Source organism: Homo sapiens, chromosome 4 (assembly GCF_000001405.40).
Source record: "Homo sapiens chromosome 4, GRCh38.p14 Primary Assembly".
Lineage (NCBI taxonomy): Eukaryota > Metazoa > Chordata > Mammalia > Primates > Hominidae > Homo > Homo sapiens.
Window position 1 is genome coordinate 67,576,536 of NC_000004.12, and position 26,474 is coordinate 67,603,009.

General features: G+C 38.0%; 1 protein-coding gene across 2 annotated transcripts in view, besides 1 other annotated feature; it reads left to right on the plus strand.

The window, feature by feature from the left end:
• Nucleotides 1-26,474, plus strand: part of STAP1 (signal transducing adaptor family member 1) — a 48,611-nt gene that overhangs the window by 17,809 nt on the left and 4,328 nt on the right. For both annotated transcript variants that reach the window (NM_012108.4, NM_001317769.2), the window contains exons 4-8: nt 668-724; nt 4,770-4,936; nt 7,039-7,167; nt 14,349-14,418; nt 16,725-16,821. In NM_012108.4, coding sequence (NP_036240.1) covers nt 668-724; nt 4,770-4,936; nt 7,039-7,167; nt 14,349-14,418; nt 16,725-16,821 — 520 coding nt within the window. The remainder of the gene's footprint in view (nt 1-667; nt 725-4,769; nt 4,937-7,038; nt 7,168-14,348; nt 14,419-16,724; nt 16,822-26,474) is intronic.
• Nucleotides 228-287: a silencer, noted in NCBI's record as "silent region_15462". NCBI's record gives its function as "represses an Ori minimal core promoter by ATAC-STARR-seq in GM12878 lymphoblastoid cells {active_cell/tissue: GM12878}" and the evidence as "EXISTENCE:reporter gene assay evidence [ECO:0000049][PMID:35858748]".

A 26,474-nucleotide genomic window follows, 5' to 3' on the forward strand; every position in this document is an offset into this window, starting at 1 on the left:
GTGCTTAAAATAGTAGCTACCACTAAAAGTGCTCAAAATATGTTGGCTGCAGTCTTGACCTCCCAGGCTCAAGCAACTTTCTCACCTTAGCCTCTCAAGTAGCTGACACCACCACAACAGGCTAATTTTTTGTATTTTTTGTAGAGACATGGTTTCACCATGTTGCCCAGGCTGTCTCAAACCCCTGAGCTCAAGTGATCCTCCCACCTCAGCCTCCCAAAGTGCTGAGACTACACGCATGAGCTACCAACCCTGACCTGGTATTGTTATTATTAGTAATAACATAGTACTAGTATTTACAGCTAAGAATTGGAAGTTTCTACTATCAAATTTGGTTGTCCTGAATTTAAAGCCAGTCCATTTTAACTGCTAATGGAGAGAGTAACTGTGAATTGACATACTGCAAAAGTAAGTTTTCTAACATTTAATTTTTTTGAGTAAATTTGTACATGTTCATTTGTTTTAAGTAAGCAAACAGATTACAGCTGTATGTCTTCTGACAAAAGAAAATAGTATTGAAATATTTCATAAAAAATACACATTAGTAGTTCTAAGCCAAAAAAAGAAAATGAATTATTTTTTAGGCTCAGTCATAATTATTTATTTTATGCTCAATCACTCATGTATTTCCTTCTTTGGCTTTATCTGTTTTTGTCTTCAACTTTAGACAGAGAACACAGAAAGTGGGGAAGAATGGAGAGGCTTCATTCTTACAGTAACAGAGGTAGGAAGCTCACTGCTTTTGATTGATTCTTTTTTTTTTTCAACAAATATCTGCTGAACACCCTATGATCCATGCAGAGTGAAAGTGGCTGAAGATATAGCAATTGAAAAAGATAGACCTAAACTCTTGCACTTACTTATGAACATTATATTTTCATCAGGTGGTGGAGAGGGAGAAAGTAAACAAGTAAACAGATGATCATTTCACATTGTGACAATTGTTATGAAGAAAATAAACAAGGCAATTCGCTAGGGAGTAACGGGTGGTAAAGGAGATCTACTTTTTGGTCTTATCTGTTTGACTCAGTGGTCCTTTGTATATTCTGATATTTGTAGCTAATACAGCATGTTTGAAAATACATTCCAATTTCTTTTCTTTTCTTTCTTTCTTTCTTTTTTTTTTTTTTTTGAGATGAGGTCTCACTATGTCACCCAGGCTGGAGTGCAGTGGCATAATTTGGCTCACTGCAACCTCCACCTCCAGAGTTCAAGTGATTCTCCTGCTTCAGCCTCTCAAGTAGCTGGGATTACAGGCATGCACCATCATGCCCAGCTAATTTCTGTATTTTTAGTAGAGATGAGGTTTCATCATGTTGGCCAGGCTGGTTTGGAACTCCTGGCCTCAAGTGATCTGCCGGCCTCGGCCTCCGAAAGTGCTGGGATTACAGGTGTGAGCCACTGTGCCCGGCCTCTGATTTCTTTTTTATTTATTTAATACATATTTATAGAATACTAGCCAAGATGAATTTTATAAATAACATAGACAATGTAACAGGGAGAGACCATAAAAATGAAAACTCACCTTTAAACATTTCTTCAGTGAGTCTTAAAACAACAGGATGCTTATCTGTTCAACTCTGTGGTGTTTTATCAGAGGCAAATAGTAAGATCTACTGCTTAGAGTTAACTCTTGCAGTAAGATAATGTCCATTATTTTAGATAAAGCCACTGTAGCAATTGCCTTGGAAACATGACGTTCTTTGATAACCAGCCTCCCAAGGAGCACCATGTTCTCTAGTAATTTAAAAGGATATAAAAACTGTGTTTATTAGAGTCAGTTAAACACAGATTCTATCCAAAGCTAGTTTCTAAGTAAGCCATTGCAGTCATCTGAAATAAGCACTGCACTTTACCAAGTTGATGGATGCAGGTTCTTTATTTCAGCCAGTAACAGGTAAAAGTTAGAGGTTCAACTATTGTGTAGGGAAGTTATATGAGGCTAGAAAAGCGGACCAGTTAAAGATGTGAAGAACATGTTGACTTCTGAGAGGGAGAGGAAGGAATCCTGGGGAATTGCACTCTTTCCCTCTGTTGTGGAAAATATCTCTGAGTGGTATGGTGCTTCCAATACCGGGTATAACTATCCCAAAGGTATGTGACTAAGTATCAAGGAGTACACTAAAAACTCTGGCAAAAACTTTTTGCATCCCCCCGGTACACTAAGTATGTATAAAGTTTTGGCCAAACATTTTGTTTTTAGTTTCTTTCCTGGAGTAAAAATAAAAAGCATTATTTTTATATTAAAATACACACATAAATAAGTAACAGAATATAAAATCAAATTTATGTGAATTTTTTTTTTTTTTTTGAGACAGAGTCTCACTCTATCACCCAGGCTGGAGTGCAGTGGTGCAATCTTGGCTCACTGCAACCTCCACCTCCTGCGTTCAAGCAATTCTCCTGCCTTAGCCTCCCAAGTAGCTGGGATTAAAGGCACGTACCATCATGCCCGGCTAAGTTTTTTAAAAAATATTTTTAGTAGAGGTGGGGTTTCACCATGTTGGCCATGCTGGTCTCAAACTCCTGACCTCAAGTGATCCTCCCACCTCAAGTGATCCTCCCACCTCGGCCTCCCAAAGTGCTGGGATTACAGGTGTGAGCCACCACGCCCAGCCCATGTGAATTTTTAAGAGAAGACAAGTTGCCTCAAATTGTGTATTCTGTAAATGTTGTTTTGTGTTATGATTCCAGATCATGGTATATGAACATTTACAGTATGTTGTTATTAGGATGACTTTAGTAGAGAAGTGAGAGAAGCTCAGACTGTATGTAGTTGAAAGAGCTGAGACATTGCTTTTGAATCAAATAAACCCCAGTTTGGGTCCTGGTTCCATAACTTACTAGCTATTTGACTCTGGACTAGCTATTTAATCTTTCTGTGCTTGATTTTTTTTTCTATTTGTATTAGGCCATTCTTGCATTGCTATAAAGAAATACCTAAGACTGGGTAATTTGTAAAGAAAAGAGGTTTAATTGGCTCCTGGTTCTGCAGGCTGTACAGGAAGCATGGTGCCAGCATCTGCTCAGCTTCTGGGAAGGGCCTCAAGGAGCTTTTACTCATGGCAGAAGGTGAAGGGGGAACAGACATATCACATGGTGAGAGTAGGAAAGAGAAAGAGTGGGGAAGAGGGACCACACACTTTTAAATGACTAGATCTCACAAGAATTCACCCACTAACATGAGAAAAGCACCAAGCCATGAGAGATTCATCCCCATGACCCAAACACCTCCCACCAGGCCCCACCTCCAACACTGGGGCTAATTTAACATGAGCTTTGGTGGGAACACATATCCAAACTATGTCACCATTTGTAAATTGGGGATAACAATACCATTTTTTTTTTGAGATGGAGTCTTGCTCTGTCACCCAGGCTGGAGTGCAGTGGCTTGATCCCGGCTCACTGCAAATTCCGCCTCCCAGGTTTAAGCAATCGTCCTGCCTCAGCCTCCCAAGTATCTGGGATTACAGGCACATGCCACCCAAAATTTTTGTATTTTTATTAGAAACGGGTTTCATAATGTTAGCCAGGCTGATCTTGAACTCTTGACCTCAAGTGATCCACCCACCTTGGCCTCCCAAAGTGCTGGGATTACAGGCATGAGCCACTGCGCCCTCCCGTATAACAATACTTTCTAGCATTTCTGTGAGGAGTTGCAATAAAACATGTACAATGCTTGAGCTATAATAGTCAATTAATAAAGATATGTGTTTCATTAGGTATTTTCCCCCATTATTTCATTTTTTTCTGGTATATATGGAAATTGTTTTACTGGTTATTATCTTAGTTATCTAAAATGTCTCTAAGCCTTTTTTATTGTGTATCTGTATTAGTAAATGTTTGTGTAAATTTTATATGTACTTGTACGCATATTAAAACATATATAATAATAGAAATTAGTGAAATAGTAACTTAATAGAAAGTGAAGTTATAATGTTTTCTTCCCATACTCTAATGGACTTTCTTGTATACCTCCTGGAAAGCATGCACTCTTCTCTGAAGATAAAGGTGATAATCACACAAGGCTGCCTCCAAATAAAGACTTGCTAGGGTCACGTACAAAAAATATCTTACCATTCACACTATACCTTCTAAGAGCACAGAGCTGGTCATAATGAGGTCAAAATTGCAGGTATGAATATAAATCAGAAGGACATATATAGGTGAGTCAATCTGAAATACATCTCTAGGAAAGGTAACAACCACCACAAAACCAACTAATAAGTAGAAAAGTATCATAATTCTAACATGTGAATGAATGTTTGAAACACACCACAGACGCAAAATTTCGACCTCTGACTGCTGCTCTTCAGTCACCTAATGAACAGTTCCATCTGAATCCCATGTTGCCATATGGCTGGGGGAAATCTTTTCAGATAACTTATGAGAGAGTGAGGTACCTTGAAGGTGTTCTGGAAAATCCCTGGCATTGATGAACTAGTGAGCTCAGAATGAAAAATATGAGGTTTGTTGTTACTTGAATTAGCTTTTAGTGCAAGGCGGGGTGTTCTTTGCTTTGGGGCCAAACCAAAAGGATGATTCCTTGGCAGAAGGGTAGGCACTCTGTGCAGGTTGTAGTTGGTGCAGAGGCGGTTCTGAAACACCCAACCTAGACTAAAATCCTCTGTTTCTTATTCCCTTAGTCCCTACTCATTCACCTCTGTCAGGTAACTGTAGCCCTATAGGACCAGAACAGGGTCGTCTTTACTAAAGTTATAAGTTATTAAGCTGTTTTCTTGCCTGCCTACTCTTTTAATTGGTTTCAGCTGTCAGTTCCCCAAAACGTGTCACTCCTACCTGGGCAAGTAATTAAACTGCATGAAGTCCTAGAGAGAGAAAAGAAAAGGAGGATTGAGACAGAGCAGAGTACGTCCGTGGAAAAAGAGAAGGAACCAACTGAAGATTATGTGGATGTACTGAACCCTATGCCAGCGTAAGTGCACAATGAACTGCAGTTTATTCATTCGATTGTTAAAACTAATTTCTAATTATAAAGGAGAGTTAGTCACTTGCTCTTGTTAAGCCAGGGACAATAAGCAGTCTTGGGGATAAACTGTATATCTCTGCGTACATGCCATATTTCCTCTTCTATGTCATGATCAACAAAATGCAGATTTGAACCAACCATCTTACCACACAGGAAATCCCCTTCCACCCACATCTTTAGAACAAATAGATACTCTTTCCAGAGCTCACGCCTAAATAAAAACTCCCATGAAGAAGGCAGGAAAAGATATTTTTTCACTATGCAAACTCTATGATTGACTGATTTTCTCTCAGAAAATTATACCAATAAATTTTCAATACCTAGAATGTTCTATTCAACTGACCAATTAGTCAGTAGTCATCAAGCTTGTACTTTGACAAAGGCCTTGTGTAAAATGTTTAAGGTGTTGGAAAAATAAAGAAGTGCAGAAAATGCTAAATTCACCAACATCCTACATTTATTTTTTATATTATTGAAAAGATTCTGAGCTCTTTCCTCCTGGAATCTTGGTGGTGTTGTCAATAAAACTTGTCCTGGTACCCTGTTTGACATCAGGTTCTGTTGCATACTCTATCTGTACTACAATCACTGAAACCCGCCAACCATCATTTTTACCTGAAACCACCAGCAACTGATGGACTGATAAGTTAAAAGTCACATGGACTGCTAATTTTTCTTTTTTCTCAATAAAACAAGTAATATATGTTTATTATATATAAAAGATTAAAATCATTCCTTGTTCCACCGCTCAGAGATATTTGCTATTAACATTTTAGTTTTTTTTTTGTTTTTTTTGTTTTTTTTGAGACAGTGTCTCACTCTGTTAGCCAGGCTAGAGTGCAGCACGATCTCAGCTCACTGCAATCTCCACCTCTGGGTCTCAAACGATTCCCATGCCTTGACCTGCCGAGTAGCTGGGACCACAGGCACCTGCCACCGTGCCCAGCTAATTTTTGTATTTTTGTAGAGACAGGGTTTTGCCATGTTGCCCAGGCTGGTCTTGAACTCTTGAGCTCGAGTGATCCACCCGCCTTGGCCTACCAAAGTCCTGGGATTACAGGTGTGAGCCACCATGCCCAGGCTTCTACCAGATTTTTTCTATTAGTTTTTTTTTTTCTATGAATATGACTATATATTTTCTTGACTACGATTTACAGGTGGTCTGTATAAGTTGAACAATGGTTAAATGACTTTTTGACTTTAAGATGATGCAAATGCAATATGCATTCAGTATAAACTCTACTTTTCGAGTACCCATACAACCATTCTGTTTTTCACTTTCAGTATTCAATGCATTGCATGAGACATTCAACATTTTATTATAAATAAACTTTGTGTTAGATGATTTTGCTCATCAATAGGCTAATGTAAGTGTTCTAAGCATTTTTAAGGTAGGCTAGGCTAAGCTATGATGTTCAGTAAGTTATGCATATTAAATGCATTTTCAGCTTACGATATTTTCAACTTACAGTGGGTTTATCGGGATATAATCCCATCATAATTCAAGGAGCATCTGTATATTATAAAAATGAGAAGTGCTTTATTTTTTATTTTGCACATAAAAATAACAACAATGCCATAGAAAGACATATTACACCAAAATAAATGAGTGCAAACATATTTAAATATCAGTTGTTTAAGACATAGACCATACAAGAGAAACATTTACAGATGTTTTGTATCCCCGAAAGGAGACCCCCAATAAATATTTATCCGAGAACCTACTTATCAACTGAGACTGGGGATACATTGTTAATTCTTGTTGGTAATGATGATTATATACTGATCAGTAGATAACTTTTCAGGTTCTCTTTGTATAAAAAGGCTTTGGAAGAATTAAGGAAGGAAGACCTTAACGTTAGCATACACAGAGTGGCACAGGCTTGTAATAATAGAGCATTGTAATTACATAATTGGAATAATCAAACCGGAAGTTTTAAGAAAAGTTAGCAACTGCAGCTCTCAAAGTTATTTTGGTAGTATTTTTTTCAAGTAATGATCTTCATCAGTTAAAAAAACAATTCTGTTTTTTTATCTCACCTCTGTAGATGTTTTTATACAGTGTCCCGGAAAGAGGCAACTGAGATGCTCCAGAAGAACCCTTCTTTGGGAAATATGATCCTGAGGCCTGGTAGTGACAGTAGAAACTACTCCATCACTATTCGGCAGGAGATAGAGTATGTTTATTTTTTTTAAATGTATGGAATTTTTAAAAGCGTGGTATCACTAAATACAAGTCCAGATCAGCACCTGCTATGTGTTTCGTTGGGGCTGAAAATATGAACACAAGTGGCCGGGTGCGGTGGCTCACGCCTGTAATCTCAACACTTCGGGAGGCTGAGGCAGACGGATCACAAGGTCAGGATATCGAGACTACCCTGGCTAACACGGTGAAACCCCGTCTTTACTAAAAATACAAAAAATTAGCCAGGCGTGGTGGCACGTGCCTGTAGTCCCAGCTACTCGGGAGGCTGAGGCGGGGGAATTGCTTGAACCCAGGAGGCAGAGGTTGCAGTGAGCCGAGATCACACCACTGCACTCCAGCCTGGGTGACAGAGTGAGACTCGGTCTCGAAAAAAAAAAAAAAAAAAGAACACAAGAATAGGGAGGGAATGTCATAAAAGCAATGCTAAAGACTGAGCCAATGCTAACATTTGCAGCAGGGAAGAAGAAAGAATAACACATTATTTTGGTCCTGGATATAGTTGCATTGTTCATTCATTCAATTCAACAAATATTTATTGAGCAGCTGCTATATGCCAAGCAATACTCTAGGCACTGAGAATACGCAGTGAAAAAAACAAACATCTCTGTTTTGGTTTGAGTTGATTAGCAATAAAAGTATAAAAAGAAAAACATCCCTGGCTTCAATCTTCAATGAGTTTACATTCTTGTAGGGAGACATAGACTTAAACACATAACTAAAAATATATGTGGCCATAAGGTCTATAGAGTAAAATAAAGCAGGAAGAGAGAGATGGGAACCCTCAGAGGTGACAAAGGGAGCACATTTTTATGGTTGCTATTGTTTTAATATAGAGTGGTCAAGGAAGACCTACTTTATTGACTGATTTAAGCAGAGAGCTGAAGGAAGTGAGAAAATAAACCCTACCAATATCTGGGGCAAAAGTGCTCCAGGCAGCAAATGTGTATGCCTTGAGATAGAAGAATGCTTGACTTGTTCAAGAAAAGAAAAAGGCTGCTGTGACTGCAATGAAAAGAGCAAAGAGAAAAGTGGTAGGAGAGGAGATTCCAGAGTCAGGGTAGGGACACATCACTCAGAGCCCTACAGATCATTGTAGGGACAAGGGTTTTACTTTGAATGACATGAGAGGCCACTGAACTGTTGTCATAATCTGACTTATTTATAAAAAAGGGCCACTTAGGAGCCTCTTTGTCAAGGTTACTAATTTCTTTCTGGTAAAATGGTCTAACTTTGATAAAGTCAGTAACACTTAAATGCAAACGTTATTTTTCTGTGTAGTTGGGGTAGTTAGATCTTTTAATAGACTCCAGCTTTCAAAGTCTATGAGAACTTGCACTTCATTGGAGACTCTGGCTTAGTTAATACTTCCACAACTGATAATATAATTTAAATATCAAGGTTATGTCCTACATAAAAATGTTCAGTAAATGACTTTCTTTAATATATATGCATAAACAGAACTTTGACATTTGAATTTGCTATTCCTTATGGGGATAATATTATTTTATTAAATTTTATACTATAACATATCTATCAATAAATCTATCTACTAATCCACCCCATAAATATCTATAATTCTAAATATGAAGATATGTATGGTGAATAAAGGCAGTTAAAAAGAAACAACTTCCAGAGACAAATTTAAAACATGGCATTATGGCTACATTGCTAGTGTGTGCCACAGCCCAATAAGCTTTATTCACTTGCCAGTAAACAGATCCTTGTCTTATACACTAGTCATGGGCACTGAACAGATGGCAAGAATGTTAGATGGTAAATCAGGTCATGGTTCTTTGTGTAAGGAAATGTGTGTGTGTATATATCTCTGTGTGTATATTTCTACAATGAATGTCTGTCAACTTAAACTTGTGGTTTCATTATTTTTTGTTTATTATAAACTAACGATTGAAGTTAATGGATTTTCAATTCTATTGAAATACAGTAGAAAATAATAGATTTTTCAATTACAACCTAATTTGATGTATAATTTAATTGACTGTCTTGATACAAATCCAAAAGAAATCATTTTTCTTATTGTTATGACTGCCATTAAACATCAGTGAACTTAGAATAATTTGTAGGAGAAAAGTGGATTTTTCTCTTTACTATATCCTGGTCAAGAAGTTTGTCCTTTTTCAGGATTTACGAAATTGTGTATGACATAAACTACAGCATATCCTTAACCGTTTACTTCCACTTTTAAAGATGAGAGGATGTAACACTGAATTAAAAATTAAGAGAGAGCAGATTTTTAATAGAAACATAATCTAACTGCTTAAATGTAAAATTAGAACACCAAAGAGCGTGATTTTTTTTTCCTTAATGTCATTCCTTTCTTGGTCAGATTGAGTGGTTGATACATTTACACGTGACCCCTGTCTTACTATTCTGCATGAAATGAACAAACTCTCAAGACCTGACAGCTCCATAAAGACTGCATATTTCGGCCAGGCACGGTGGCTCACACCTGTAATCCCAGCACTTTGGGAGGCTGAAGCAGGTGGATCATGAGGTCAGGAGTTTGAGACCAGCCTGACCAACATGGTGAAACCCTATCTCTACTAAAAATACAGAAATTAGCTGGGTGTGGTGGCACGCACCTGTAATCCCAGCTACTCAGGAGGCTGAGGTAGGAGAATCGCTTCAACCTGGGAGGCGGAGGTTGCAGTGAGCTGATATTGCACCACTGCACTCCAGCATGGGCAAGAAAGCAAGACTCCATCTCAAAAACAAAACAAACAAACAAAAAAACTGCATATTTCTTGCACAATAGCAGCCTGATCCCTTTTAAGGTGGTCTAGATTAGTCCAACTCTTTCATTACATTTTCTATACAATTAACTATGAGAAATAACTGTTTTCTGTTGCAGATGTGGTGTGTGACTAAACACAATGAATTTCTGTACTTAGTGTCACAGTTTTTACTCACAATTGTATTGTATTTAAGTTATATATTAAGCTCATGAGAGTATGGAAAAGGAGTTCATATCAAAGTTGCATAATTCTAAATTTAATAAGTTCACTTTTGGTTTGAATTCATATAGAAATTCATGCTTTTGTTAGCTGATGGTCATCAAAACTTACAACATTTTATAAAACTAATCATTCTCCCCCTGCAAAAGTTCATATTTGGAAAGCAAGAAGTATATTGGTTAAACTAAAGAATTCTAACACTAGAGTCAGTATGCACTTATTTAGGCTTTGAGAAATAGTTCATACCTGGAAGTGGATACGAAAAATTCAACTGTATTGCACAAATTTTCCTTACATGCCAAATCCATCTATGATGTCAAAGTTTGTTAAATGTATTCTCTAATGCCTCAAAACAGGTGTTTCAGAGTACCTGAATTTAATATCTTCCATGTAACAGGTCACTTAAAGGATAACAGTTGTACAGAGTATTAGAATTTTAGCTTGTTATACTGTACGACTTAATGTAAAGAATTTGGTAGAAACCTCGGCTATTGGGAAGCAGTTGTATTACCCACAAAACCAATTCATTCTCTTATAGGTTATGGGAGAAATGTTCAGTCATGCAAGTTAGATGAGTGTGTCTGGTAAAACATTAGCTGAAAAGTACAAGTTAGTTTACAAAGCAGTATATGAAAATAAAATTATCTCCATCTGTTCACAGAGCAGCTGTGGGAGGGAATACTTGTTCTCAGGAATAAACAAAAGCCATTCAATGCCAAATTACCAGATGACTCTTGTCTCAATGTAGACTATCATCCACCTTTACCTAGCCCAATGGTGCGTGAATTCATAAGACATAAAGCTGTTCTTACAACAGAACTTCATGGCTTGGTTTGGTTTTCTTGAAAATGTTATGACTAGGTACCAAGCTAGCAGTATGGAAACTTTGGAAAGCCATTAGCTAAGGAAGCAGTAGGAAATATTTACCCAAACTTTATTTCTTTGCAAAAATGGAAGTCAGAAGCTAAGAACAAGTATTTATAACCACATTTAAGGGGACACCTTTTCTTTCTTTCTTTTTTTTTTTTTTTTTTGAGATGGAGTTTTGCTCTTGTTGCCCAGTCTGGAGTTCAATGGCGCGATCTCAGCTCACCACAACTTCCACCTCCCAGGTTCAAGCAATTCTCCTGCCTCAGCCTCCCGAGTAGCTGGGATTACAAGCATGTGCCACCACGCCTGGCTAATTTTTTTTGTAGTTTTAGTACAGACGGGGTTTCTCCATGTTGGTCAGGCTGGTCTCGAACTCCTGACCTCAGATGATCCGCCCATCTCGGCCTCCCAAAGTGCTGGGATTACAGGTGTGAGCCACCGCACCCGGCTGGGGACACATTTTCTTAAAAAAAAAAAAAAAAAAAAAAAAAAGACTTGCTTCTTCTGTTTTGAGGTCAGCATCAGGAAATCTTAATATAGCAAATTCTATCAATCTTGTTTTTTTCATCTCTTTTTATTTCTTTGGAAAAGCAGAACAAAACAGAATATGAAAGGAAAGCAAAATGTCTAAAAAGAGAGTCAAAACCTAAGCAACTTCAATGGATTTTTTTTCCCACCTCTTTCTGTTCCAGAATTTCATTCTGTTAGTCAAAAGTTCCAAGATACCTTGTTGACCTTTGCCACTTTTCCTCCCACAGCTTTGCCATAGACGACGACGACGATGATGATGATGATGATGATGATATGATGTCTTTTTTTTGTTGTTGTTGTTGTTTTTTGTTTTTGTTTTTTTTGAGACGGGGCCTCGCTCTGTCTCACAGGCTGGAGTACAGTGGTGCGAGCTCGGCTCACTGCCATCTCCGCCTCCCGGGTTCACGCCATTCTCCTGCCTCAGCCTCCCGAGTAGCTGGGACTACAGGTGCCCACCACCACGCCCGGCTAATTTTTTGTATTTTTAGGAGAGACGGGGTTTCACCGTGTTAGCCAGGATGGTCTCGATCTCCTGACCTCGTGATCTGCCTGCCTCAGCCTCCCAAAGTGCTGGGATTACAGGCGTGAACCACTGCGCCCGGCCAATATGATGGCTTTTAAAAACAACAACAATCGTTGTTCTCCTTATAGGTTACCATTTGTGGGTGCTATGTTGAGTACTGGCAAACATTTCCTTCAGGCGCAATAAAAACTTTGAGACAGACAGTATTTTCCATGTTTTACAAATGAAGAGGATGAGACTCACAGAAACTACTACATTAAAACAATACATTTAAGAAGTAGTAAAAATGGTTATAATTTACTGAATGCTTAAATGTGCCAGACACTGTACTAAGGGCTTTGCAAAGGTTAACTCACAGCAGCCCCTTGAGGCAAGGCACCATCTCCATTTATAGATGAAGAAAATGGAGGTTCAGAGAACCCACATGACAATCAGAATTTGAACCAAGTTTTCTATCAGTCTTCCAACGAACAGCAATCCCTTATTTAATAGGAATACAGGAATTGTAATTGAAATTGTAGAGTTTTCAAAAGTAACTGTGTGATTACAAAGATCTTATTATGATGTGATAAAGATAAAGCCAGGTATAACCACCCTGAAAAGGTGCTGTATGACCTTCTGTGTCCAAAAATGCTTCCTTCACCAACTTGTAACTGATTCCTGAAGTTTCAGCGTTAAGGAATGTTTTCTTTTAGGAAGGAAAAGGGTTGGTTGGGTTTTATCCCATGTTTTGAAAGTAGGTTATTGGAATTTATGAGCTGTTTCCATTGTGATGTCCAATTGAGAGGTGATTTGGATATAATGGTGAATGAGAAGAGTCCCCTGAATAGAAGACTTCAGTTTCAGTCCTAAATGAAAACGGAAGGAGAAGCGATTTAAAAAAAGAAGGTAGAAAGACCCTGTGCCTAGCTTAACCTGCTGAACACTTTTGTTTTAGACAGCTTCTGTACATAGGACAAATGCTTAATTAGTGTGTCATTCAAGCAAATGACAATGTAATAAATGCTGTTCATTTGTCAACACTAGAAAAAGTTTTCATCCTAACATGCTTGCCGTACAAATCAAGGGAATTCAAGACAAACATACTCTGGTTCAAAACTAACTGACAAGGATAGTGACTTCTGATCTCAGTGTAAATTTGCTTAGTTCTAGCAGATAACATTATGAGGTGGGGGATCCTAATTTTTTTTTTTTTGAGACAGGGTCTCATTCTGTTGCCCAGGCTAGAATGCAGCGGCACCATCATAGCTCACTGCAGCCTCAATCTCCTGGATGCAATGATTCGCCCACCTAACACCTGAGTAGCTGGGACCACATATGCATGCCACCATGCCTGGCTAATTTTTTGAATTTTTTTGTAGAGATGGGGTCTCATTATGTTGCCCAGTCTGGTCTCTAACTCCTGGGCTCAAGTCATCCTCATGCCTTGGCCTCTCAAAAGTTCTGGGATTACAGGCCTGAGCCATCCCACTCATCCAGCTCCTAATATTTTAAAAACTCAACTTTATAAATATTTATTCTGTGCCTAATGCTAGAATACAGTGATGAATAGGATATGCCTCTTGTTCATAAGCAGTTCATAATCAATAAAATACCCTGTATTTGAGTGGTAATAATTTTGAGTGCTATGTGACTATAGAAGAGGAAGACAATACGATTCATGTAATGTACTTACATTATCATCTATATGTTCATATAGTGCCTAAGACCCAGTATTTTCCATATCTCCAAGTCAGCCCCAAAGTTAGTGGATATCCAGGGTGGTATATGAGCTAATATGAATAACAGCTATTGAGGGGTTTCTGGTTGGATTGGTGACAATGTAGGGTAGAAAGCAATGTACTTTTAATAATTCTTTCTACTTCTCTCAATATGGAGAATATATATTTGATTTTATATACCTACATAGAATTTTATTATGTTGTTTACTTTCTAGGTTACTGACATTAAAAGAATTATTTCTGCCTGAAAGATTTTTAATTCTTGATTCCTTTTTTCCTGTTTATTCTTTCTAATTCACCCACTCAATGACCCAGATTACCTATATCCCTAGTGAGTAGCCCCCACAAAAAGACACTCTGCAAACCAGGTAAACAGAAAATAAAAAACCACGAAGGATTTTTTTTTTTTTTTTTTTTGCCAAACTATAGTCATGACAACATAGGTTGATTATACAGGTGATATTTTATATTTACTTTAGTTTGCATTTACCCAATTGTATAATAAAATGGAGACTAACCATTTGTTTCATTGTAGCATTCCAAGAATCAAGCACTACAAAGTGATGAGCGTAGGACAAAACTACACTATTGAACTGGAAAAACCTGTAAGTAACTATTTTTGTTGTTGTTGATGAACTTCCTCCCGATTCCTTATAGCCTCCTAGTGCTGGCAAAAAGCAGCCAAGTTAAGGAGCCCTGAATGTGGCAGATATACAAGGTGAAAAGTGAGATTCAGGAACAGGTGGTGAGGCAGAGTAAAATATAATTTGCTTCTAAAAATTCTTTCCACTTTTCTTTTTCTGCAAATTTCTCAAGGTTTGCAGAGAAAGAAAAGTGGAAAAAATTCAGAGAAAGAAAGATACTTTTGTTAAACATTCTCCAATTATAAATCTTCAAATATGTTTATTTCTAATGGGAAGAAATCTGTAAATGCCTAATCCTCTAATACCTGTCTTGCTGAAGTTCAGAAATCCTCTCTTAATAGCAACATAGTAGTGAAGAAAGCATTTCTTATTTGTCTTGAACTCTTCTCCCACCCAAGCTGACTTACCATGGGGCTAATGATATAGCTAAGCACTTGACATATATCATCCAATGTAATTGTTATCATTACCCTGAGGTAGATATTGTTATGCCTTTTATACAGGTGAGATAATTGGTATTTACACTGTTCTGAACCAATGAGAATGTGGTGATGTGGCCTACATTCCAGGATGCTGAAAAAGAGAATATAGCTCTGTGATTTTAGGCTGCAGTAGTGGGAAGATTGAGTCAGGAAAGTTGTCTCTGGATATCTTAAATAGAACTGGTGGGTCTTGAAGATATTTATATTTACCTAGTTCCTCTGCTTCTCCAGGTCCATTGTGTTGATCAAGTAGAAAAAGGAACAGTGTGGTTGAATTTTTTATATTTTGGTCATAATTCTTAGAGAGCAAGGTAGCTGCTGATTCATAGAGCACACTTACATCTTTGCCATAAGTGCCTCCCAAAGCTTCTCAGTTATCAGATCCATTCCTGACTAGACTTTTAAAATAAAATTCAATAAAGAAGGCAGAAAACTAGATTGCTAAAGGATAATCCAAATAACTAAGTGACTACAAGCAATGGACAAGGAAGAATAATGTGTCATCTTTGTAACTGGGTAAACTGGGGCTCATTTCTGTCATTAGCTCATACAGTCTACAGTGTAAGGAAAACTAACAGCCTGGATTATTCTTTCATTTTTCACCCTCCCCAACCATACTCCTCAACCCCTCAGTAAGGTTGTATTTTTGTGATTTTTTTTTTTAGAGACAGGGGTCTTGCTGTGTTGCCCAGGCTTGAGCACAGTGGCTGTTCACAGGCACAATCATAGTGCCAGCCTGAAACTCCTGGGCTCAAGCGATCCTCCTACTTCAGCCTCCCGAGTAGCGGGAACCACAGGTGTGTACCACTGCGCCTGGCTCAGGAATTCTTTTTCCTCTTCAAGGTTATCTGGTATATTTATTCTGATTTCATTTGTATAAAAATATTAGTTTAGGGGTAGAGACACATTTTATCTACTCCTAGACCGGCAAATTATCCTGTTACAATAAAATACTAAAATGCTTAAATTCTCTGGTTTTAAAGGTTATTTGCTTTAAAGCATAAGAAACCAACTACAGCTAACTTAAGAAAAAATAAATTTATTATAAGAACATAGAATGACTGGAAGGGTAGCAAACCTTCAGGGACTAGGACGCAGTTACTTGTGCTAAGAACCATCTGATTAGGAAACTGGATCCTTCTTTGTTCTTCTACTCAAGTTCAAATTTCAGAAAGAAAGCATTTTCTAGCTAACTTGAGTCACATTTTTTGCTCCCCTCATTTTTTAAGGGACAGGGTCTTACCCTGTCACCCAGGCTGGGGTGCAGTGGCACTATCACAACTCATGCAGCCTCGAACTCCTGGACTCAAGGAATCCTCCTGCCTTAGCCTCCTGAGCAGCTGGCACTACAGGTGTAAGCTACCACACCTAGCTAATTTTTTCAATTTTCGTAGAGACAGGATCTCGCTATGTTGCTCAGGCTGGTCTGAAACTCCTGGTCTCAAATGATCTTCCCACCTGGACTTCCCAAAGTGCTGGGATTACAGGTGTGAGCCACCACACTTGGCTTACATTCTTATGCTTTAATTGAGGGAGAGCAAGGTACCTAACTATTGTCTACCAGATTGTATTCAATGGGAAAGGTGGTAATTCCTCAACAGAGAATGGACACATGGTCAATTAAAAAGGATAAATAAGACACAGGGATAGGTAAAACTATGGTCATACAGTAAGCCATTGAAGTGAAGTAATGACAGTAATCTCCATTAGATTCCAGTTGAGCCTTCTCTTACTCTATACTTATGCAGGTGATGCTGAGTTTTCTCTCACTCTCTATTAATACAGGTAACACTCCCAAACCTTTTCAGTGTCATTGATTATTTTGTGAAGGAGACTCGAGGAAATTTAAGACCATTTATATGTTCAACTGATGAAAACACTGGTATGTTTTTCACTTCATTGCTATGTTAAGGGAAACAAAACAAAACAAAACAAAATCCCCAAAACTCTGCATATGATTGATAGTACCAGCCAGGCAGGAACTGTAGTTCAGTCTTTAAATTTATCCATTTGGAAATCATTTTGTCACTCAGTCTGTGAAAATAGGAAAGTACCAATATGTATTATGAACAGAGTATGGGTGCATTTTAGGGAATGGAAAACCCTGAGGTATGTAGTATTACTATTAACTTCATTCTATCATTCTACTCAGCTTTATCTAACAAATTCAGAGGTAAGAGGAAACCATAATCATACAAGTTAATGGAAACCAAATGGAATTTAAAGGGATAGTCTGTCAACAACGTTAGATGCGTAATACAGGATAAAATGAATGAAGATTAAGAAGAGACGATGAAAACTGGTGATTAGCCAATAGATGACTTGAGAGAGAGAAGTTGTATTCCACTATGAAGGCAGAAGTCAGATTGCAAAATAACAAGGAATGAGTGGGTGGTGAGGAATTACAGATAAAGATTGTAGCTAGGACCAGCTACAGAATTTGCCAGCCCCTTGTTCATAAATTAAGAATTTCAAAAACAGTTATAGCAAACCATCAAACCGAGCATGAGACCCTATGCAACTGCACAGTTTACACACCCTTGAAACTGGCTCTCTTTGCAATCCAACTTCTGGCAGAGCAAGCCAGGCTGAATGTAATAGTCTCTCTCTATCTTATGCAACAGTTCCTGGTACACATGGTCACTGGCAAACTGTAAGCAGGAGAGAGAAAATATCTCCAGCTTGTGTGGATTTTAGTTATCAAAACAAGTCTCTTTTTCTACAGATTATGGGGGAAAGCAACCTTATTTGGCTATCTGCATTGGGGCATATCTGGATAGTCTTATTAATTAAAAGGATAGCAAGTTTAAAAGTCCAAGTTCTTAAAACATGATTATGAATATTGTGATGCTAAATAATAAGAGTAACCAAAACCACAGACTCTCAGGATCTGAAGGAACTTTAGAAAATTATAGTATCTTATCTGTTTAGAACTCACCTGCACATTCAGTACAGGAAACATCTCTAGGATATGACCCCTTCAGCTTGTTTGTAAATTGTGAATGTAAGAGGGCTTAAATTTGATTTTTGAAGCAGCACAGTTCACTTCTGGACAGTTCTCATATTAGAGAATTCTTCCTTGATATTGAGTCTGAAGCATTCCTTCAACTTCTACATATTAATCCAATTTCTGGCTTTGAAACAATACGACTTAAAAGGCCATCAAATATTTAAAAATGTCTACAATGTCTTCCCTCAGTTTTTTACTCTCTGTCATCTAAATTATTGGTTCCTGAATTTCTCTTACTCTCATCTTTGATGTTCTTTTTACATTGTCTAATTTTTAAACTTGTCACTTAAAATATAACCCTACTGAATAATAATGTTGAGCATCTTTTTATATGTTATTTGCCATTATATATTTTATCTGGGAAAGTATCTATTTAAATCTTTTGCCCATATTTTTATTGGGTTGTTTTTTCTTTCATGCTTGTTTTGAGAGCTCTGAACCGATACAAGCTTTTTGTGTGTGTGCATGTGTGTGATTGGGAAGTATTTTCTTAGTGGGTGATTTGTCTTTTCATTTTTTTAACAGTGTCTTTAGGAGAGCAGAAGTTTTAAATTTTGCTTCTGTAGATTGTACTTTGGTGTTATACCTGAGAACTCTGCCTAACCTAAAATCACAAAGACTATTTTCCTGTTTTCTTTTAGAAGTGCTGTGATTTCATGTTTCACATTTAGATCTATGATACATTTTGAATTATTTTTAAACTGGGAGGGATGTGTCAAGGTTCATTTAGTTGCATTTAGATGGGTAATTGTTCCAGCCCCATTTGTTTAAAAAGATTATCCCACTGAACAGGGCAGCCCACACCTATAATCCCAGCACTTTGGGAGGACAAGGCAGGAGGATCACTTTGAGAGCATCCTGGGCAACATAGGGAGACTTCGTTTCTACAAAAAAAAAAAAAAAAAAAAAAAAAAAAATGCTGGGTATGGTAGCACATGCCTGTAGTCCTAGCTACTTGGGAGGGTGAGGCAGCCAGAAGTTCAAGGTTGCAGTGCACTATGACTGTGTCAATGCACAATGTGAAAGGGCAAGAGTGAGACCCTTTCTCTAAAAAGTAAAAATAAAAATAAATGCTTCTCCATTGAATTGTCTTTGCAACATTTGTAAAAATCTGTTGACCATTTTTGTACGGATTAATTTCCAATGATATATGTTCCTACCCTTTTGCCACACTTACTATTACTATAACTTCGTAGTAATTCTTGAAATTAGGAGGATTAGTTTGTTCTTTGCTCTTTTCTTTTTCAAAATCGTTTGGACTAGTCTAGTTTCTTTGCCTTTCATTCTAAATTTTAGAATCATCCTGTTGCCATCCAGAGAACAATCCTCCTGAGACTTTGACTGGATTATGTCGAATCTGTTGATTAGTTCAGGAAGAACTGACATCATAATATTGAGTCTTCCAGTTGAAGAATGCAATATATTGGTACATTTGGGCTGTCCTTGATTTCTTTCATAGTACTTTGTTTCAGCATACAGCATTGGCACACATTTTGATTTATAGGTATTTAAATTTTTGTTGCTGGTAAATGATATTCTGTAACATTTGAATTCCATTGTTCATTGGTAGTGATATGGTTTGGCTGTTTTCCCACCCGAATCTCATCTCGAATCGTAATCCCCAAATGTTGAGGTAGGGACCTGGTAGGAGGCAATTGGATCATGGGGCCGGTTTGCCCCATGCTGTTCTCCTGATACTGAGGGAGTTCTCATGAGATCTGATGGTTTTAAAGTGGCCATTTTCCCTGTGCTCTCTCTTTCCTGCCACCTTGTGAAGACGTGTCTTGCTTCCCCTTCACCTTCTGTCATGATTGTAAGTTTCCTGAGGCTTCTGTAGCCATGCACAACTGTGAGTCAGTTAAACCTCTTTCTTTGATAAATTACCTAGTCTCAGGTAGTATCTTTATAGCAGTGTGAAAATGGACTAATACAAGAATTGGTATTGGCAGAGTCGGGTCCTGCTATAAAGCAACTTTGGAACTGGGCAACGGGCAGAGGGTGGAACAGGTTGGAGGTCTCAGAAGAAGACAAAAAGATGTGGGAAAGTTTGGAACTTTCTAGAGACTTATTGAATAGTTTTGACCAAAATGCTGATAGAGATATGGACAATGAAGTCCAGGCTAGGTGGTCTCCAATAGAGATGAGGAACTTGTTGGGAACTCGAGTAAGAGTCATTCATGCTATGCTTTAGCAAAGAGACTTGTGGCATTTTGCCCCATCCTAGAGATCTGTGGAATTTTGAACGTGAGAGAGATAATTTAGGGTATCTGGCAGAAGAAACTTCTAAGCAGCACAGTGTTCAAGATGTGACCTGGCTTTTTCTAAAAGTATACAGTCATATGCATTCACAAAGAGATGGTTTGAAATTGGAACTTATGTGTAAAAAGGAAGCAGAGCATAGAGGTTTGGAAAATTTGCAGCCTGACCATGTGGTAGAAAAGAAAACCCATTTTCTGGGGACAAATTCAAGCTGGCTGCAGAAATTTGCATAAGAAACAAGAAGCCAAATGTTAATCACCAAGACAATGGGGAAAATGTCTCCAGGGCATGTCAGAAATTTTCAAGGCAGCCCCTTTTATCACAGGCCTGGAGGCCTAGGAGGGAAAAATAGTTTTGTGGGCTGGACCCAGGGCCCCACTGCTCTGTGCAGCCTCAAGACATGGTGCCCTCTGTCCCAGCTGTGCCAGCTCCAGCAGTGGCTAAAAGGGGTTGAGGTACAGCTCAGGTTGGTGCTTCAGAAGGTAGAAGCCCCAAGCCTTGATGGCTTCCATGAGGTGTTGAGCCTGCAGGTGTGCAGAAGACAAGAATTGAGGTTTGAGAACCTCTGCCTAGATTTTAGAGAATGTATGAAAATGCCTGGATGTCCAGCCAGAAGTCTGCTCTAGGGGTAGAGCCCTAATGGAGAACCTCGACTAGGGCAATGCAGAGGGGAAATGTAGGGTTAGAGCCCCCACACAGAGTTCCCACTGGCACTGCCTAGTGGAGCTGTGAGAAGAGAACCACCATCCTCCAGAACCCAGAATGGTAGATCCACCCACAGCTTGCACCATGTGTCTGGAAATGCCACAGGCACTTAATGCCAGCCCATGAAAGCAGCCGCAGGGGATGTACCCTGCAGAGTCACAGGGGTGGAGCTGTTCATGGCCCTGGGAGCCCACCCCTTGCATCAGTGTGCCCTGGATGTGAGACATGGAGTCAAAGAAGATTATTTTGGAGCTTTAAGATTTAATAATTGCCTTGTTGGCTTTCAAGCTTGCATGGATCCCGTAGCCCCTTTGTTTTGGCCAATTTCTCCCATTTTGAATGGCTGTATTTACCCAATGCCTGTACCCCCATTGTATCTTGGAAGTAACTAATCTTTGATTTTACAGGCTCACAGGCAGAAGGGACTTGCCTTGTCTCATATGAGACTTTGCTCTTGGAGTTTTGGGTTAATGCTGAAATGAGTTAAGAATTTGAGGGACTGTTGGGAAGGCATGATAGGTTTTGAAATGTGAAACGGATATGAGATTTGGGAGGGGCCAGGAGTGGAATGATATGGTTTGGCTCTGTGTCCTCACCCAAAGCTCATCTCAGATTGTAATTCCCAGGTGTTGAGGGAGGGATCTGGTGGGAGGTGATTGGATCATGGGGGCAGTTTCTCCCATGCTGTTCTTATGATAATGAGTTCTCACAAGATCTGATGGTTTAAAACTGGCAGTTTCCCTTGCACTCTCTTTTTCTCTTGGCTATTGTGAATAGTGTTGTTATAAACATAGGAGTGCAAATATCTCTTTAGTACACTGATTTCCTTTCTTTGGGGTATATACCTAGCAGTGGGATTGCTGGGTCATATGGTAGTTCTATTTTTCTTTTTTTAAGGAGCCTTCATCCTGTTCTCTATAGTTGCTCTACTAATTTACATTCCCACTAACAGTGTATGAAGGTTCCCTTTTCTCTATATCCTTGCCAGCTTGGTTATTGCCTGTCTTTTGAATATAAGCCATTTTAAATGGGGTGAGATGATATCACCTTGTAGTTTTGATCTGCATTTCTCTGATGATCAGTGATGTTGAGCATCTTTTCATATGCCTGTTTGCCATTTGTATGTCTTCTTTTGAGAAATGTCTATTCAGATATTTTGCCCATTTTTAGTTGTTTTATTAGATTTGTTTCCTATTGAGTTATTGAACTCCTTATACATCTGGTTATTAATTCCTTGTCAGATGTGTAGTTTGCAAATATTTTCTCCCATTCTGTGGGTTGTCTCTTCACTTTAATGATTGTTTCCTTTGTTGTGCAGAAGATTTTTAACTTAATGCGATCCCATTTGTTTATTTTTGCTTTGGTTGCCTGTGCTTGTGTCTTACTCAAAACATTTTTGTCTAGACCAATGTCTTGGAGAGTTTTCCCAATGTTTTCTTGGAGTAGTTCCATAGTTTCATAGTTTCAGGTAATGAAGCGATGCTGAATTTTATCAAATGCTTTTTCAGCATCAATTGAAATGATCATATAACTATTGTTCTTCATTCTATTGGTACAATGTATTACATTGATTGATTTACATATGTTGAGTCATCCTTGTATCCCAGGGATGATAAATCCCACTTGATCACGTTGGATAATCTAATATGTTGTTGAATTTTGTTTGTTAGTATTTTGTTGAGGAGTTTTACATCAATGTTCATCAGAGATATTGGCTTGTAGTTTTTAAAAATGTGTCTTTGTTAGTTTTGTTATCAAGGTAATACTAGCACTGCAGAATGACTTTGGAAGTATTTACTCCTCCTCTATTTTTTGAATCATCTTAGTAGGATTGGTATTAGTCCTTCTTTAAACATTTGATAGAATTCAGCAGTGAAGCCATTGGGTCCCAGGCTCTTCTTTGCTGGGAGACTTTTTATTATGGCTTTGAACTCATTATTTATTATTGGCCTATTCAGGTTTTGGATTTTTCATGGTTTCATCTTGGTAGGTTGTATGTGTCTAGAAATTTATCTATTTCTTCTCAATTTTCCAATTTATTGGCATATAGTTGCTCATAGTAGTCTCTAATTATCCTTTTAATTTCTGTGGTATCAGTTGTAATGTCTCCTTTTAAATCTCTGATAGTATATATTTGAGCCTTCTTTTTTTCTTAGTCTGAGTAAAGGTTTGTTGATTTTCTTTTTTCTTTTTCTTTTTTTTTTTATTTTTGAGATGGAGTCTCAGTCTGTCACCCAGACTGGAGTGCAGTGGCACAATCTCAGCTCACTGCAACCTCCACCTCCCGGGTTCAAGCGATTCTCCTGCCTCAGCCTCCCAAGTACCTGGGATTACAGGTGTGTGCCACCACGGCTGGCTCATTTTTGTATTTTTAGTAGAGACAGGGTTTCACCATGTTGGCCAGGCTGGTCTCGAACTCCTGACCTCAAGTGATCCACCTGCCTCGGACTCCCAATGTATTGGGATTACAGGTGTGAGCCACCATGCCTGGCTTATTTTTTCAAAAAACTTTTTGTTTCAATAATCTTTTGTATTTTTTTAAATTTAAATTTCATTTATTTCTGCTATGACCTTTATTGTTTCTTCTACTAATTTTGGGTTTGGTTTGTTCTTGCTTTTTTAGTTCTTTATGATGCATCATTAGGTTGTTTATTTGAAACTTTTCTACTTTTCTGATGTAGATGCTTATTGGTATAAACTTTCCTGTTAGTACTGCTTTTGCTGTATCTCATAGATTTTGGTCTCTTGAATTGCCATTTTGATTTGTTTCAAGAAATTTTTAAATTTCCTTTTTAGTTTATTCATTGACCCACTGGTCATTCAGGAGCATTTTGTTTAATTTCCATGTGTTTGTATAGTTTCCAAAGTTCCTCTTGTTACTGATTTCTAGTTTTATTCCATTGTGGTTGGAGATGATGCTTGATATTACTTCAATTTTTTTTTAATGTTTTAAAGAGTTGTTTTGTGGCCTTACATATGGTCTGTCCTTGAAAATAATCCATGTTCTGAAGGAAAAAATGTGTATTCTGTAGATGCTGAATGAAATGTTCTGTAAATTTCTATTAGGTTCATTTGGTCTATGGTGCAGATTATGTCCGATGTTTGTTGATTTTCTGTCTGGCTGAAAATGGGGTGTTGATGTTTCTAGCTATTATTGTACTGGGGTCTATCTCTCCCTTTAGCTATAATAATATTTGCTTTACATACATGGGTACCCCAGCATTGGGTGCATATATATTATATATATTTGCAATTGTACTTCTTGCTGAATTGACCCTTTCATCATTATATAATGACCTTTCTTTTTATAATTTTTGACTTGAAATCTATTTTGTCTGATATAACTACTCCTGATTTTAGATTTCTATTTGTGGAATATCTGTTTCCATCTCTTTAGTTTTAGTCTATGTCTGTCTTTATACGTGAAGTATGTTTCTTGTAGGCAACAGATCAGTGAGTCTTGTTTTTTATCCTTTCAGCCACTCTATATCTTTTGATTGATGAGTTTAGTCCATTTATATTCAATGTATTATTGATAAGGACTTACTACTGCCATTTTGTTACTTGTTTTCTCATTGTTTTGTGGTCTTCTCTTCCTTCCTACCTTCTTTCTTGTCTTTTTTGTGAAGGTGATTTTCTCTGGTGGTATCTTTAATTTCTTGCTTTTTATTTTTTGTGTATGTTGTAGGTTTTTTAAATTTGAAATACCATTAAGTTTTCAAATAACATCTTATAACCCATTATCTTAAACTGATGACAACTTAACGTTGACTGCAAAAACAAGCAAACAGAAACTAATAATAGCTCTATACTTTAACTATGTACCCACACTTTTAAATTTGTTATTTCTATCTTCTTATACTGTCTATGTCTTGAAAAGTTGTAGTTATTTTTGATTGGTTCATCTTTTAATCTTTCTATTTAAGATATAAGTAGTTTACACACCACAATTTACGGTGTTATAATATTCTGTTTTGTCTATTACCACCAGTGAGTTTTGTCCCAAAGAGATAAGATGACTTCTTATAGCTCATTAATGTCCTTTTCTATCAGATTGAAGAACTCTCTTTAGCATTTCTTTTAGGACAGGTCTGGTATTGATGAAATCCCCCAGCTTTTGTTTGTTTAGGAAAGTATGTCTCCTCCATGTTTGAAGGATATTTTCACTGGATATACTATTCTAGGAGGAAAGTATTTTGCCGTCTGCACATTAAATATGTCATGCTCCCCTGGCCTGTAAGGTTTCCACTGAGAAGTCTGCTGGCAAATGTATTGGAGCTCCTTTGTATTTTGTTTGTTGCTTTTCTCTTGCTGCTTTTAGGATAATTTCTTTATCCCATCCTTGGGAGTTAGAATATTAAGTGCCTTGAAGTAGTCTTCTTTGAGTGAAATCTGCTTGGTGTTCTATAACCTTTTGTACTTGAATATTTATATCTTTCTCTAGATTTGGAAAGTTCTCTGTTATTCCTTTGAATAAACTTTCTACATTGATATCTCTGTCTACCTTCTCTTTAAGACTAGTAACTCTTAGATTTGCTCTTTGGAGGCTTTTTTTCAAGATATTGTAGGTGTGCTTCATTCCTTTTTATTCTTTCTTCTTTTGTCTCCTCTGTGCATCTTCAAATAGCCTGTCTTCAAGCTCACTAATCCTTTCTTCTGCTTGATCAATTCTGCCCTATTGAGAGATTCTGATATATCCTTCAGAATGTCAATTTTTCAGGTCCAGAATTTCTGCTTGACTTTAAAAAATTATTTCAATCTCTTTGTTAAATTATGTGATGGGATTCTGAATTCCTTCTCTGTGTTTTCTTGATTTTCACTGAGCTTCCTAGAAATGGCTATTTTGAATTTACCGTCTGAAAGTTAACACGTTTGTCACTCCAGAATTGGTCACTGGTGCTTTATTTAGTTCATTTTGTAAGGTCATATTTACCTGTATGTTCCTAATACTTATGTTTGTTGATGTCTGGGCATTAAAGAGTTAGGTACTTAATCTAGTCTTCACAGTATGTGTTTGTTTGTACCCATCCTTCTTGGAAAGGTTTTCCCAGTCTTCAAAAAGAATTGAGTATTCTGATCTAAGTCGTTGGTCACTGCAGCCATATATACATTAGGGGGCACATGGGCCCAGGAACACTGTGACTCTTGAAGACTTGTAGAGTACTGCCTTGATGGTCTTGGGTAAGATCTAAAAGAATGTCTTGGATTACCAGGCAGAGACTCTTGTTCTCTTCCCTTACTTTCCCCCCAACAAATGGAGTCTCTCCCCACCTCCTCTCTCTCTCTCTGTGTGTGTGTGCTGAGCTGCCTGGAGCTGGGGGAGGGGTGGACATAAGCACTCCTGTGCCACAACCACCATGACTGTGCTTGCTGGGTCATACCTGGAGCCAGCACAGCACTGAGTCTTGGCCAATGCCCATGGTGACCATTGTCTGGGTACCGCTGATGTTCACTCAAGGCTCAAGGGCTCATGATTTGGCAAATGGCTAATCCAGCCAAGCTTGTGTCCTTCCCTTCAGATTGGTGAGCTCCTCCACACCAGACCAGAGTGAATCAAGAAA